Source organism: Homo sapiens, chromosome 18, assembly GCF_000001405.40.
Source record: "Homo sapiens chromosome 18, GRCh38.p14 Primary Assembly".
NCBI classification, from domain to species: Eukaryota; Metazoa; Chordata; class Mammalia; order Primates; family Hominidae; genus Homo; species Homo sapiens.
The window spans coordinates 28,021,472-28,039,174 of NC_000018.10; the positions used below are offsets into that span (position 1 = coordinate 28,021,472).

The following is a 17,703-nucleotide window of genomic DNA, read 5'->3' on the forward strand; positions in this document are numbered from 1 at the left end:
TACTATTAAACAACAAATTTATTATTAGAGATATTGCATAGTTTACATATATCAGATGTAGTTATTGTGTTCTAGCCCACATAAAACTGTGTGAACATGATGAACATAAAATTAATCACCAGGGAAATAATTATTTTAAAGAAATTTTTTGCTCTGAAGGTAATACCTCAAAATGATGTTAACCATAAAACCATAATATCCTTATAAAATATTAACAAGAAACCACAGATCTTATATATTAAATGTATTAGCATTTAACAGCACTACATAAACCAAATGAATGAAAATGTGGAAATACTCACATATGGTTTCTAATTTTTGCTCAAGTAAACATTATACCATATTTAGAAACAATTATATGAGAACACTCAAATATTTTCATGTCTAAGTATCTTTGACTTTTTATTTTTTTCCATACTAATTGCTATTTTCAAAGGCATTGAGAAAATAGAAATAGTTTCACAGTGTTAACAAAAGTTTCTTTTCCACAGCCACAGAGCAGTATTTATTAATGAATGAGATTTCAATTAATGAAGGCATTAGGAGGGAGGAAGGTAGGGAGAAACTGCCACAACAGTAAGTGTTTCACAGTGTTTTTACATATATATTCCAATGGAGAATGGTCACCACATAACGAATTTGCTCATAAATCTGAAAAAAAATCTGCTTAGGTAACATTTTGCCACAATAGTTCCTTTCTAAATTTCATACAGGAATGATTTTTTTTTTCTAGAATAATTTAGTTGCCATGTCAGGGCTTACCAATCCTTTCCACACATGTACAACAGGACAGTTTTACAGACAGGTTGAGAATGTCTATACAGAGCTTGGTGAAAAAAGTCATTCCATTTTCTTTATAGCATATAATTATGATAAGAAAACAAATACAGAGTATTAGGGAATATATAAACTAATATGCATAAAATTTCCAACTGAAATATTTTTTAAATCTTTAATGATAAATTTGACCTTGTGTTCACAAAATACCTTTGTATGTCTCCTGATTGAAATATCAAATTCTTAATTACTATCAACGAAAACTTTATTAACAAGAGTTAGTGGGAGTAAAGGGCAGTAGAGTATTTACCACTTTTTCTCCAAATAATAGAAAGTTCTTTCTTGTCATGAGCCATGAGGGCTAAATTTATTAAAGTTCATGGTCCTTCCTTTACTTACAAAGACAAATGTAATGTGGAAAGTCCTTTGGAAATGCAAATGTTTTTCAAAATTTTTCCTATTAAGTACTTCAAAATAATGAGTTTCAAACATTCACAGGGATTGCTCTAATAGTTTTAATACTTTTTTTAGGTTTTCAATATAACACCAATAACACAAGTGAATCATTTTTATCCTTTTTTGAAAGTTTAACTTTTGCTTTATATCTATAAACTCTGTGTGTGTAATATTTTTATATGGCCTTTGCAATTTTCAATTAAGTTCATTCAGGTGCTCCAAAATGTCTGGTAAGCAAGCTATCTTTTTTCAAGTGAATAACTCTCCTTCAACAAATCTAAAGAGAGTAATATTTAAACACACAATGTATTTTTTTAATTAACTCTTGAAAAAAGGTATCTTTTTAGACAGCTTGTGTACACATTGGCAAATATCAGTAAATGTGATAATCTAATCCCTTATCTTTGAATAAAGCTCTAGCGATTTATTTAGATTCATATTTTCATATATGACCTTATATGGAATCACGATTTATAAGCAAACTTTTATGTACAAGAGCTGCTATGTGAGTAAAACTCATCTCAGATGAAACTCTTGATGTTTACACCTTCATATCATCTATAGCCTTTATAGCTTCATGCCACTAGGGCCAGAGCACCAGCCTCATGTATGAATATGAATTATTTTATTTCATTTTGAGACAGAGTCTTGCTTTGTCACCCAGGCTGGAATGCAGTGGGGTGATGTTGGCTCACTGCAACCTTTGCCTGCCAGGCTCAAGTGATTCTCTTGCTTCAGCCTCCCAAGTAGCTGGGAGTACAGGCGTGCACCACCATGCCCAGCTAATTTTTGTTATTTTTTAGTAGGACAGGGTTTTACCATGTTGGCCAGGGTGGTCTCAAACTCCTGGGATCAAGTGATCCACCTGCCTTGGCCTCCCAAAGTGTTGGGATTACAGACCAACTGCACCTGGCCAATATGAATATTTTAAAACATGAAATATGAATATTTATTTGCCTCCCTGCATACATAATCTACAGAAGTTTGTTTTGATTTGCTCAGAATAAATAATGATCTTCAAGGATTCTAAAAAGTCTATTAGCAATTATACTAATGTCTTAACGTCATCAATATACAATAACTTTTTAAATTTAATAATCTATTTGATTAACGTTGTCACTACGATGTGTGACATGCCCTCACTGCCTGTTCTGATAGCATTATGCTAACACGGCTCCTTTTCTATTTCTTCTGCTTCATTTGTTTCCAGTCTACTACTGATAGTGAACATATAGGCTGGTAAAATAAGAAATTCCATATAACAGGGAAGCACTTTGGCTTAGTATTATATGTGAAACCTTGTAAAAGATGGCTTTTAAAACTTGATCATATAGTGCTGTATATAATCTCATAAAGAAGGATTCTTACTTTTTGTGTAAGAGAATTCAAAACTACTTACGTCTAAGATGGCTGTTTTGGGGTAGACTGCCACAAAAATGTGTCATGCAAGTAGCTTCACTTCATCACTTTTGCATGCAAATGAAATGTTTACTCCATGTGTGAGAATAATTATAATGGCACATGAATTCCAATTTAAGAGAATCATCATTATATTGCCCAATTATCTTAATAATTTGAGGGGTGGATTCTAGTGATGCTCAGAGGTTTTCAGCATTTATTCTCAAAATATCCTTTGTGTTGGGAAAATAAACATATGTAGAAATGAAATCTTAAGACAAAACAGATTGTAGGCATGTACAAATCTAGAAAATCTATTTGTTAATAATATAAAGTATATATATAAATAATATAAAGTAAGTATATGTATTTAAAATATATAGTTAAGACTATCTGCATTTTAAATGCTTTAAAATAAAGCGAATAAAAAGCTTCAAAATTAAACATACAGCAATCTAAATTAGAATTTAATTTAGTAATTAAAAGTTAAAAATATATACAATATAATCATTTTCTACATTCCTAGATAACCAAAATATATTTTGAAAACCATCAGTTTCTGGAACTTACTGTTCTCTTTAGTAATTTAGTGTCCAGAGAAATCAACTAATTTAATTGAAAGGAGTTTTTTTCTAAAAATGTGTATCTTAAACATAATATAAACACTTTAATTCTAAAACACACAAAATTAATTATTGATTTCCATCAATAATAAGACTTTTGACTAATTGTTAACCTTGAAATCCAATCAGAAAGAAAAAAGAAATGAAAGCAAAGAAAGAGTAAAAAGAAAAAGGGAGGGAAGACAGAATAAGCAATTAAGAAAATTTACAAAATTAATAATTTTCTGATACCACACTAAAACAGTAAATGATAAAATTTATATAACTTCTATTTTAGAATAGTGAAAAACAAATACTTGCATAAAATCTTCACTGAGGATAAACACATTGGTATTAAAATTGTGATGAGATTAACTGAAGAATTTTGGTGGGAAAGTTGGGAAATTTTGTGGTGGTTGCTCCATGAGTGAGGTCTTGGTCAGGGAGATGATCTGGGGAAGTGTTATGCAGGAGACCTCTCTTGCAATGGGTCTACACAAGTCTTATTCAGAAAAATAACAGAAAATAATAGGCTGGGCGCAGTGGCTCACGCCTTTAATCCTAGCACTTTGGCAGGCTGAGGCAGGAGGGTTGCCTAAACTCAGGAGTTCGAGACCAGCCTGGGCAATATGGTGAAACCCAGTTTCTACTAAAATACAAAAAATTAGCCAGGCGTGGCGGTGTACACCTGTAGTCCCAGCTACTCAGGAGGCTGAGGCAGGAGAATTGCTTGAATCTGGGAGGTGGAGGTTGCAGTGAGCCGAGATCACACCACTGAACTCCAACCTGGGTGACAGAGCGAGACTGTCTCCAGAAAAAAAATAATAATAATAATAAAAATAATAAGCGTTTGCAATTGCAGTAAGTTTTCAGAGCAAGCCATAAGAGTAAATATTATTATTTTTATTAATTTTAATTGACACATAATTATACATACTTATAGGGTACAGTGTGGTGTTTTGATACATGTACATGTACTACAGTGATCAAATCAGGGTAATTACCATAGCCATCACTTTAAATATTTATGAGTTAGGAAGAATGAGTTTCGTGGTTCTATTATAACATAGGGTAGCTATGGCAAATAACAATGTAGTATATATTTAGTAGTGCATATACGATTTTGAATATTATCCCTTCAAATATTATTTTAACTGTTGTGAATTAATTTTTATATATTTTATTGTAAAAAGTCTTCACATTTTTAACACTATAAAAAAGCCCAAGGGCACATGAATTCTAATTTGATGGGATCATTATTATATTACCTAATTAATATCTTAATCATTCATGGGGGGCATGGATTCTAGTGGCTATGAAGTCACCAATAAGTATTGTGGGCCAGTCAATGCTTTATGAAAAGCTAGAAACCAGAATTTGTCTGTGAAACTTTAAATCATAGAGAAGAAGCCAAATTCATGTAGCCCTGGTCTAGTCTTCAGCCATGCTTTGTTTGTGCCATGTAGCATTTCAACAAAATAATGTCATTTTCTTTTGATTCTTCTACTTCCCCCTGGGAGGCCAGGTGATAAAACTAAGGCACTGATTTGCCCATCAAATGAGACCACTGAAGTTCTAGCCAAAATCTTTTCCCACTATTGTCCTTTTACTCTCCATTACCAAACTTTCCTTCTAGTCTATCAATAATGTAAAGGCTATTTGGATCAAAACATGATGGTGGCTTGAACAGGCTGAGAAATCTTGGTTAATGTCTTTTGAACATGGTAGCAGACGTGGGGAGTAGGTATAATTATAGACAGCCTTCCAGGGATCACACCAGAATGACAGAGGTATCAAGGGTAGGCAGGCCAAGTCCTTGCTAGAACAACCATAGCCTGACATCACCACCACTCTCCTAGAGATCATTCTCTTGATACCTGGAAATTATTCTTCCTCAGCCCAAGGAGCTACCTGCTGATGGCCTGGAGGGCAAATGCTGTCCAACAGAAAAACAATGTCAGCCATGTATGTTATTTCATCAATTCTAGCAGCCACATTAAAAACTAAAAAACAGTTGCAGTGAGTATCTGTAGCATACCTGTATTCCATTCATGGCATTCTAGCTCAGACACATGGATCTACTTGCCATGCTGCTAAATATTAAGACAAATGTAAGCATTAGTGATGCTCAGAAATATCTTCAGTTTTTCTCCCCTTCCTAGATATTCAGAAAGATTACACTTCTCATCTCCCTTGACATTAAGCATGACGACATGTTCAACAGAATCAGCAGGTAGAAGGGACACATATCACTTTACAGCAGAAGCATTTAAAAGTTGATGCCCTCCTCCCCTGCAGTGGTCATTCTTTCTGGTAATTATGAAAGAACGGGCCAGCTGGAGGTAATACAAGATCAAGCCCACAGGATGAGTGAACCACCCCCATGGAGAACTGCCCTGAGAGTCATCCATATCTACAATGGACTTAGCATGAATATCGGTTTTTGTGTTAAACACAGAAAACTGGTGGTAACTGTTAGTGTGGCACATCCTAGCCCATCGTGTCTAATAAGGCCTCAGCTTGAGTGACCTACAACAAGACAGTAAAATTAGGACAAAAGGTCTATAAAAATGAAATAAATCAGAATCAAACTTGTTGTAGGTTAAGTTCAAAAAAAAAAATTTTCAAATTACTACAAGTATTGATATTTCCCTACCAAAAAGTTTTTATTATAATGTTCCCCAAAATATTACAAAGTCTATTAGGAGCTGCTATTTCATTTCCTTTCCAGGAAAAGTCATGTCATATTTAACTAACATATACAAGTTGCCACAAATAAAAGAAAGAAATAACGTGCTATGTTATTCTTCTTTAATACAAAACTGAAAAAAAATCAAAACAGCAGTAGGGATGATATAGAAAAATAATTATGGTATCAAAAATATAAAATTTAGCTTTCAGTAGTCTAGTAATGCTATGCATACAATTTTATATATTAAACTACTGGGAAAGCAGCAAGATTATTGTGTTCTCCCTTGTATACATTCTAATAACTCAAAAGTTTTTAAGCTGTTCTTCACTTCATTGATATTCTTCCTCCAGGCATCTCTATGCTACGAAATATTTCAATGAAAACTCTTTCTTTTGACAGAATCCAGCTAAAAATATATAAAATTATCAGTGCTTAGGCAGTTTTGTTTTGTTTTTTTTTTTTGCAGAATGTACCCATTAACAAATTACACTGAAATATCACTACCTCTAATTAAATTAGTCTTTCAGAGTACAGGTGGCGTAGAAGCTCCCTTTTCCCAACTGTATCATTATTAGTCTCTGAAATTTGATGTAATTTAGTTAGCTCCATATTTCTGGTTACTTATGTCAACAAAGAAAGAAATCTAATTCCTAATTTTTAAAACAGGTTTTTGTTAACTTTGAAAGAAAAAGAAGAGTTTCAACATGAATTTTACTCATAACAGACATTTTGCTAATTGGCATTTTCAAAGATAACACTCTAAAAGAAAAAAAAACCTAAACTAAATTAAACCTGTTTCTCAATGAATTTCCACAATGTGGCCTCAAAATGTGCTACAGAAACCATTGAGAACAAATGTGTCCCCTGAGTAACCAACTTACTAAGATACAGGTAGCCCAAAGAACAAAAGTACGTTACTGTTTTGTGAAACTTGAATTTAAAAAAAGAGGTTCATAGAACATGATGTGCATTAAGCACACTAGCCCCACTGGTATGATGTGATACCACACTAACTAAAATTAAAGTCCACTGGGCTATTAAACTACTAAACCCCAAATCATTTGCTGACAGTAAAGTTACAGAACAAACAAAAGGATAAGATTTCATCCTAAATACTTAATACAATTTAAGAAGTGCTTATTCTTTAGGAGAAAAAGGTCAGGATCATACATGAAGAAATAATATATATAAAAAACAGGTCTTGAAAATTTACCATCATAATACATAACTGATAGTTTAAAATGTGAATTCCCAATATTTACTGCAAATTGAACAAAAAGATCACTAGCTGCTGGAAAGAACTTTGTAAGCTGAAAAGCTGTACTATTCAAGTAAACTATAAGAATTTAACAAAAGAAATATCCAAACCCCATTATTTCTAAAGGCTACTTACATTTTCTGAACATTGGCAACCTGATGTGTATTAAGTATTTAACATATACAGAATTCCATGAAAATTTCAGCAATAATCCTATGCTTTCACAAAGGCAATGAAGATATTCAAAGCAATGACATGAAATCTTTAAGCTGCCAATAGAATTTAAGTACTAAAAACAATCAATAAATTCTAATATAAGTTCACTGATGCCTTATTATTTGTGAAATATTATCATGTAACCAGGAAAAAATCATGGCTTCCCAATGCATCTTTTTATGATTATCTCAGTTCACTACTTTCCAACTTTTCAAAGAATTATTGCATAAACCCTAGAAAGCTGCTCTAGTAGGGAAGATATTCTTCCAACAATCTAAAGGGATAGGTAGTATTTCTCAGACTCAGTTCAACTCACTCAGGTCTAACATACAGAGCCACAAAGAAAACAAGCACAAGTAGTATATGGCACATAATAAGAAATGGATTCCACTTTTAATGTAGTAACATAACAATAATAAAAGGCAATTTAAAGGTTACTTAATTTTATATACATGTAAAAATGTCTGACTTTGGGTAAGACTCTTAAAATGCCAGTTATTTTTATTTAGAAATTACATTTTATGCTTACTAAATTTTTATTAGTGTCCACAACTGCAGTCATGTCAAAATGCCATCATTGGTTTTTTTTTTAATCCTCTTGAAAAATGTTCCCTCTCTTTGTTATACCCTGAAATGAACACTTACCTATGTGAACACACCAACTCAGCAATCTGAATAGTTACTGCTTCAACTGACAATAATAATCCTTATTCTCATTAATGGGCTGACATTTCCTCTTGCAGAAATGATTACACTTCTATTTCACCATTCTCATTAATTACACCAAAGTGAACAGGATTAATTGCCATACACTGTAACAGGATGGCCATCTCAGGTATGCTCCAGCTCCACATCACGTGTTTTATCTGGAAAACATCTTAGGTGCACGGCTGCTCTAGGGTTCTGCCTAGGAGAATTCCACACAGACCCCTCCCAAATGCTGCTACACACTCTTAGTCCAGCTGTTAGGTGTACTTGTAAAGGGTCAAGGTATTTTAAATTTTTCAGAGGTAAAGAATTTTCACATTTAATTCTCCCTGTGTAAATATATAAACATGTATTAAAGGATTTCCATTACATTAACTAAGATGATGTCCAGGCAAGCATCCTGTGCACGTATTATTTGCTCCCCATTTACATTTCTCAATCTGTATGTATTAGCTAAAACAAATCGAGTTAGGCTAAAATAATATTCTTATAATGTCCTGATAAATAGATGCAATAAGCAGACTAGTCTGAATTACATCCTTTGCCTAAAAGCCCTGGCATTATTAATGTTTCAAGATAATATGTTAAAAATCCTATTTTTTTTGGAAAACTAACTTACAGTAGACATTTGACTTCCATAAGCATAAAAGTGAAGAAAAACAACAGATGTGGATAATTGGGACAATGACAGAAAAAAACACGCACCTAAACAGGAATAATGAAAAAGTATTAAGTGTAAATTTTTTGTCTAAAAAAAGGACTTTTTTAAAAAAATGTAGGGATATAAAACCAAGGACATATAGAAATGAGGTATGAAGACTTCTGGAGAGCATGGCATGGCACAATAGGTCCACACTGCAGAACTATCACCTTGTTCAAATACACAGCAATAATAATCAGATGTAAAAGTAAAAACAAACAAACAACAACAACAAAAGAAAAAACCTGGCCAGGATCAAAAACAAGATAGTGGACCATAAATGAACCAGTATAAATTGCTGCCTGGATAGGGAACAAGTGGAGGACAAGTGGAAGTTCAGCCTTTGCAGGGTAAAGGAACATGAAGGTGACAGGAAGCTGGTACAGCAGCTAGGATGCCACTTGACTCCAAAGAATGGGGCTCGGGCTGGGGCTGAGGCTGGGCTTGAGCAAAGGCAGAATGAAAGAGAGATGAAAACAAAAATCTTATTCATAGTGAGCCTGAAATTCCCAAATTATTACACATAAAAAAATCTAGTGCTTAAGAAAGCCAACAAAAAAATCAATAACCAGAACCTAACACACTGCAAAGGAAATTAATTCCCTTGGGTACTCTTCTGGTTTCCCCCATCCCATTGATGACTCCCTCTCCATCTCCTTCAGTGCCTTAAGGCTTAGCTCATGACCTTCCCTGATCCATATTTTCATGCTAGGTAATTTTAACCAATCTTAAGGTTTTAAAAACCACCTGTACCAAGATGAATCTTGAATATATATGTCTAAACCGTGACCACTCCACTGAGATCTAGTATCCTACATCTAACTGCCTGCTTGCCATCTCCACTTGGAAATCTAATAAGCAACTCAAACTACAGAGATGTGAAAGCCAACTCTGGGTTCACCCTCCTCCTGTACAACCAACTCCATTGTAGTTTCACCCTCCACCCAAATGCTCAGGCTACAAGTCTAGGAGTTGAGCTTAACTCTTGTCTTACCTAAATGTAATCTATTTGCAAGTTCTAACAGCTCCACTTCCAAAATATATCATCAAGACGACCAATTCTCATCACCTCCACAGCTAACATCTTACCATCAGTCATTATCCAGCATAAGTCATAGATAGAAGACTCTAACTGATCTCCTACTTCCACTCTTCACAACATCTACGGTGGCCTTTGAAAAACAAACTGGATCATGTTCAAAAGGTTCCTACTACACACAGAACAAAATCCTTAACAAAGCCCCTGGCCCTTTAACCTCATCCTTCTTTCCTCTTCTCCTAGCTCACTGGGTCTCTACAGTTACATATGTTTTCTTGTGATTCCTCCAACAAGCTAAATTGGGTCCTGCTTCAGGGCCTTGTTTGTATATTTGAAATACTGAACAATGGACGAGAAGGAAGAGGAAAGAACAGAGGAAAAGGGGAATCACGAGAACTTGGAAAGCCAGGCAGGAGACGAAATCCATGTTAAAAATAAGAGATTAGGCTCATTTTTGTCTTTTATAGATTTCATAGCTAAAGCTATTTTTCCTTAGTTTTTCTAACTTTCTTCCTTTTTCTTTAAGTGACACTGCTGTTCAATGGGTGATCAGAGCCGACTTGTCCAGTCAAATCAGATAATGAATAAAAGGAACATGAGACCTTGTTTTATTTTTCAGCTGGTTTTACTAGAAATGAGTGATGTGAATCACAAACTGCCTAGGGGAGGGGTGTAGTATAGTACTCTCTTCAATAAAATCTAAAAAAGTGGAGAAGTGGCAGATAAAAGTGTTTTGATGTTGCAGTGTAGTTATTGGTCTACTAACCATAACATGTAGCTATGGCCAAGATGCCCCAGATCACCTACAGTCTGAGCTCTGACTATGTATCACACTCCCTCTCAAACAGCGCTGGAATTTCTTGCACAAAGAATGAACAAATTCCAACTAGCTTCTCAGTAATAATATACAAAACCAACAACAACAGTCTGGTGTTGAGCCACGGTTCATTCATATATGTATTACATCCTCTCAAAACTGGGGACTAGGCACAAAGAAATTTGTGGGCTCAGCATCTGAACCATCAATTATAACCCTGCTTCAACGAGAATGTGTGTTGAATGATTCATAACATAAGAAAACAAAGACAAAGGTAAAGATTGCACCCACTTCCTCATATCCAACAGCACTGGGAACAATATTACATTAACATGTTTTTTACATATGTGTGAATTCATCTATGTAAATATAAAAGTGTAGCATACAGTGCTATACTCTGAACAGGATAAGTAATCAAATATTACTCTCATTACTACTGTTTCTAAGTCATGAGTTCAGAATGTTTGTGATAAAATATCTCATTTGGATATCATCTATAATGATTCAAATCCTTTAAGTACTTTTAAAAAATTTATTTGCTGTTTAGACAATGGCTTCCCACCTTTACAAGTAGCAAAACAAAAGGTCACAGAGTGTAAGTTTCCTGGTCACATTGAAAGTGGTGGGTGGTACTGATGCCCAAAGCTCTTTGGGGCGTCCTGGGAAGCACCCATTCCATTTTAGCACCAAGGGAAATTTCCATTTCTTGTTGAACTGCCCCACACTCAACGAAAATGAACTACATGATTCCTAATCTACCATTTACAGTGAGTATAGAGATAGACATGGCAAGGTCCCTGATCTCTAAGAGTTTAAATTTAGGGGGAAAGGGCTTAAAAATAAGTAACATAATGGGCAAAACTAAAGTGCTTAATAATTACATTTCAAGGGAGAAAGGGAAATAACTGAAGATTCAATGGAAATGGCAGGTGGCTTGTGATCTGAGCACCAAAGAATAAACATAATCCCAGTAGGGTATAGACAAAAGATGGCAGCTTCGGAATAAACAGGGGCATGGACGCCAGGCAGTGATGGTACATTCACAGAGATATCAATATGTAGAGAAAGGGTGGTGTCTGGATCAGCACAGCAGTTCTTCCCTCAATGCCTTTGTCAATGATTAGTATTTGGGAAGTATTTTTTCAAGGGCAAATTTGTTCGGCAAGGTTTTAGGATGTATTATTTTTGTAGGGAGGGATTTTTATGGACTAATGTCTTTTATTGAGAAAAACAGTCTCTAGGTAGACTGAAATCCATTAGTCTGAAGGGAGAAATGTCAACAGAGGCACAAACTAAAGATCTAATTACTGATGCACACGAATTGGTTCACTGAATTTAGGTGCTCTGTGTGTGTGTGTATGTGTATGTATGTGTGTGTGTAACAGATGTATCTGACAGCAGGATTAAGTGTTAAAATTTAAATTCCATTGTAGGTTTTGTACAAAGGCTTAGAATTTCCCCATTTTCTGATCCCATTGGTTTGACATATTAATATGAGGAAGACCATTAGTGGCACTTTTGAAACACAGGCATCATTCAAAAATACACAATATAATATACAAGATGTGATTATAAAGAAATAGGATTCATTCCACAAGTCACACAGAAAAATCAGATTCATTCTATTACAGTCATGCCTTGTATAAATTATAGTCCAGCCAACAGGGGCACTAAATATGCACTTTAATTTGGAGTACAGTACAGAAGTAACCTCACTATCTAATGAGATGAATTATTAATAAATGCTAAAAGATACTAAAAAAATGCTTGTATTAAAAAGGCCAATGGTAGTCTTATGTATTTTACAAGCAATCTTCAATAAGCCACTATCATTTTATACTCAATTGAGCCATACTCTCGATTAGTCTGATATACTATACTTTTCTTTAAATTGGAAGAAATTACATTGATAATCATTTTTTTATCAATTCTTTCTGGTTTGGTGAAAAAAAATAAAAAGAGCAATGAACTAAAAGCCAGTAAACCGAGTTATGGTCGTGGTTGCGCTGATAATAATCTCTCAACAGCTTTGGATCTTCATTTCTTCAGCTGTAATATGAGGGACTCTCACTAGATGACTACTCTGCTAATATCTCATACGGCACTAAAACCATGCATACGCTATAGTCTCAGATTTGATATCTTAACAAGTACCCGAGTGAATATCACCAGTGAAAGCTCTGCTCAAGTTCTGTTTGCTTTTGTTCATGCTGAGCAGTCATTATGAAAAATACAATGGTTTTTCTAAGAAAAAAAGCAAAGGCGAAAACCTACAGGGATAAAATTGTTTTAAATATATTTTTTTTCTGGTTTTTAAACAGTTATATATCCCAAAGCAAAGTTAAAATCCAAATATCACATTCCAGGAACTACAGATGAAAGAGCAGCAATTGCTGCAGATAAAAATCATAGCAATTATTCAGTTGTCATTTTTCCTTCCAATACGTTAAAAAATTACATAGGCCTTAATGAATTTTAATTTATAATCTAGGTGTTTTTCTTTTGCTAAAGTTCGTATGTCATCACAAAAAGAAAACAACAACCACAATAAAAAAAAACAAAAACAAAAACAAAACTCAAGCTTTTGAAACACGAAACACAACTCCCTAGAATAGACCAGTCACCTTTTTTTGCATGAAACAGATTTCAGTCATTTCAAAACTACGGTGTTACAATGAGTATAAATCCTTGAAGTTCAAACAATACTACCCGTACTTCAAGTTCCAAATTCTATATCTCATCCCCTCTAAAAGTAATGGATGTCAAATGGTAATGGGAAAACTCTTTAGAGCACAATTCTTTAAAATAGTTTTTTGGAACTACCTAATAAGGAATACAAAACAGGTGTAACTCTGGAAAAGAAAATTAAGCTTTCAAGACAACTAAGGACGCAATCCATTATTTCTCTCGAGTTTATCATTTTGGTAGGATAAATGCTCCTCAGGAAAGATTAACTGAAGACCTACAAAGTTCCTTAGGAGATATGTGGCAAGAAAACCAGAAAAGGCTCTTCTTTAACTTTACATGACATACTTTCTTTTTGAAAGTTTCTAATAAAATAAACTCATTCTTTATTCAGTTTTCTTATCATAATGGCCATACACAGACATTCCACTCCAAGTTTTGGTTTCTAATGAGCAGCATTCCTTCTCTCAGGTTCAGAGTCATTTGCTTTAATAGCCTATTTTACATGCACATACTACCTTTTGATAATTCTTTTCAGGGACTACAGTTTAGAATTTAAAACAAGCAACTTTGCTGAATATCTTATTGTTTCTCTTGGTGTTTTCAAACCCCTTGATGTTTGGCGAATTTTTACAAAATTAATGAGGTTAACCTTCATTTTTCAGACTTTCAAAGTTACTTTATGTTAACAGAGACCTCTCATTTAAGGATGACTCATATTCATCTTGTTTAACTTTATTTTTAGGAAAATTTACTAAGCTCTGCGTAGATACAAAAAAGGAGACGTATGTAACACAAATGACATTTATTAGACAACTAAATACAGGTTAATTCCACTTATAATAAATGAGAGACTTATGAAAATAAAAACCTCTGCATTAAAATTTAAAGAGCTATTAATAATGTTTTTCATTGTATAAAGTTCTTTGTCATAGCTGCATGAGAGTCTCTTGTCTTTGTCCATTCCATGCCTGAATATGTATGTCTCATTACAAGGCAGGCACTGTGAGCGAGTTGAAAATATAAAAGTGAATTGGGCATGTATTTCACCAGCAAGGAAGACACACCTGTATCTAAGAATTTCTCTAGTAAATTATATGAATTAAGATGAAGATCTACTTAGTGGGGATTAGGGAAATTAGGTTAAGAAATTTAAAAGCTGAAGTTGACATTTATATAACATAATTAAATAGAGTATCACAGAAAGTATAAACTTTACCACAAAAAATATTTGGCTTGTAAATGTTAATTTGCCTGCAGTTTGCAGAAGAATGTCTGCTATAATAAAAGGTGCAAATACAGTTTGTTGTTAAGTATTATCAGCTAGATTTGAAAATGTATCTCTTGTTTTGAAATACAGATGTACAACTCTCTAAGCCTACAACTCTAGAGAAGACAAGAGTGAAATACAGCTTTTGTAACATTCATTTTTTTAAATCATCACCATCCCACCCCCATAAAATACATTTGCAGTTTTCTGTGATTATGTTTTAGTTTGATTTTAGGTTAACAGAAATTCACATAAGCATTAAATTCCTTGTTTAAAATATAAAATGTACTTTGTACATAAGTCTTCTCATTTTATGTTACTTTGTTTTCCAAGTTAACTAAATCACCATGTTATGGAATGAATAAGGCAATTTTTGTTACCTGAAAGGAAAACATACAATTCTGCTTGGTTCTTTAATTTCTCAGTGAAGATACACACATAACGCCTTAATAAAAACATGCCATCAAGTTTCCATTTCCCATAATTCCTTCTGCTTAGTGAACAAAGTCATAATAGGTATGTCAGAATGAAAGCAGGGATAAAGTTCTTTTGAGCTGACGGAAATGCCGATGCAGCTTTTTATAACTGGAATACTGACCGTCAGCAAAACAGAGATTGGGTGGCTCAAACAGAGCCCTTATTACATCTGATTCACTGATCCCTTTCAAATTCTTGCCCCCAACCTTGGGCACAACACAAAACCTTCCTGAGCTCTACTGGTCCTTTTGTCTGTTTGCAAAACAAAATACAACGTAAGAATAAACTTTAAGGGGGTAAAACAGCACTTCTGTTTGGAAAAATCTTTCCCTTTTGGTTGTCTTAGATGCATTTTCTATCTAGTGTTTTCAGCTAGTAACAATCCATCACTTGTCATTTAGCAATCTGTTCAGTAAAAACATCTATAGCTGTCCCAGCTTTCTCTAAAGAAGGAACTTGGGTGAAAAGTCAATAATATATATGCTTTGCATACTCAGTAGCACTCAAAGTGCTTACAACATAATTAAGATTTGTAAGGAGTTGGTTTCATATCCTAAATTGGGTATGAATCCAAGATTAAATGTCAAAAAAAGTGTTATCTGGGAGTACTTGTTAAAATACAAAATCTCATAAATAAAGAAATGCATTTTATGTAAAATGAAAGATGCTCTAAGTGCAAACCATGCCTATACATAATTTTGCTAATGGGTAGATACAAGATTCCCAAAGAGTGCTTCTTCTCCCAGATTTTTACACACCATGAAACTTTCTGAGGATTCAGATAGGTTGCCAGCATGAAGGCAGAGCTACTTTTAACAATGGATTGTCAGATGTCTTGTTTTTAAACATCCCCCTTTTAACAATCAACTTTCTAGTTCACACCATATGCTAAGGTGTTTGATACAGCATAAGAATATTGTGGGAAGCAGCGAGAAAACTTACAGAAATACTTTGAGACAATGCTGAACCTTAGGATTCTGAGAGGTGAGACTGGGAAGAAGCGAGTTCCAGTAAGTTGCAGAAATAACCCAGAGCAGAAGAAAGGAGGCAATGACACCTCCAAGGGAAAGCAAAGCTAACCACTGCTTAAAATAAGGAATTCATACAAGAAAAAAAATCTGTAAATTGGATATGGGCAAACTTACAAAAACTTGGTAGACAAGTGTCAAACATTTTTGAGAGGGGGAAGTAATGTTTTGGGACAAACGACTCAACTTAAATATACAGGCTGAAATTACAAATGAAAACCTAAAGGCTAGCAAAGCTCTCAAGAGGTTATTGTTTGAACATGAACTAGAGATCTAGCCAGAGTAATGGGAACAGGAATCTCAAAAGAAGAAACATATAAAAAAAGATGATGAAGAAAGAATCCACAGGAATGGGTAGCTAATAGTATGTGGGCATAGAAAACGGTAATTGAAGGGAAGTAAGGAGTCAAAAAAGGATGCCAATGTTTTGAATCTTGTTGACTTGGGAAAAGAATAGAAACAGGTTAAACCTCAAGGAGGAAACAGTTTTATGAAAGACTGTTTTTCAGAACTGCTGATTTAATTTAGCATTAAAAATATATATGAGGGCTGGGTGCAGTGGCTCAGACCTATAGTCCCAGCAATTTGGGAGGCCAAAGCAGGCAATTACTTGAGCCCAGGAGTTCGAGACCAGCCTGGGCAATATGGCAAAACTCCGTATCTACCAAAAATACAAAAATTAGCCAGGCATGGTGGCGCACACCTGTATTCCCAGCTACTCAGGAGGCTGAAGTGGGAGGATTCCTTTAGCCTGGGAGGTGGAGGCTACAGTGAGCTGTGATTGCATCACTGCACTCCAGCCTGGGTGACAGTGAGACCTTGTCTCAAGTGTGTGTGTGTGTGTGTGTGTGTGTGTGTGTGTGTGTGTCTATGTGTGTGTATGAAATGTGCCTGTTCTGAGTGCTATAAAGGACTCATAAACTACCCCAAAGGCCTTACTCTGCAGGAGCTTCCCCAGTTCAATTATAGGAACCAATGCATGCATTTTTTGTGCAGTTGAAGTCCCAGGAATCAAGTGAAATCTCTCAGGTAGAAAGTCATAGATTATCTTGTTTACTTGTCTTATTGACAGAAAACATCTGATAGCCATCTTGTATGCAGACATCTCTTCAAAAAGGTATTTTACAAAATGTACTGATGTCAGCCTTGTTTCGTGTTTTCTCCTTATTGAATTTATTAGTTTCTTTACTCATGGATCTTTGATAATTTGTGTGTTTCCTCTGCACCACATTCTAATTTGCTACCACCTTTTTCAAACGTAAAACTCACAAAACTAAATTTTTTAAGAGCACGACTGCTGGTGCAAATTACTGTCATCACAACAACATTTGAGTACCTACTGAATGCAAAATACTTTACAGCTTCTGGAACTCCTGTGAAGATTTGGCAATTTCTTGTGGACTTAAAAATCTTTGAATGTATTAATGATAATTGAAGGATCCACATCTCATCTCTGGGATTGTACACAGGATAGTGAACTTTATGTGTCTTCCTTCATACTCTTAGTTCCTTGTTTAATGCCCTGCCACCTGACTGGGTCTAATGTCATGCAAAGTCCCTTCATTTCTCTCCTTTCCACA

The 17,703-nt window shown here is 34.5% G+C and overlaps 1 protein-coding gene across 4 annotated transcripts in view; it reads right to left on the minus strand.

The window, feature by feature from the left end:
- CDH2 (cadherin 2) overlaps nt 1-17,703 on the minus strand; it is a 244,252-nt gene that overhangs the window by 88,593 nt on the left and 137,956 nt on the right. Inside the window, exon 1 of one of the 4 annotated variants that reach the window (NM_001308176.2) lies at nt 14,999-15,170. The exons of the other annotated variants lie outside the window; for them this stretch is intronic. Coding sequence (NP_001295105.1) covers nt 14,999-15,077 — 79 coding nt within the window. The 5' untranslated portion in view covers nt 15,078-15,170. Of the gene's footprint in view, nt 1-14,998; nt 15,171-17,703 lie in introns of those variants that run through there. 4 annotated transcript variants of the gene reach the window in all.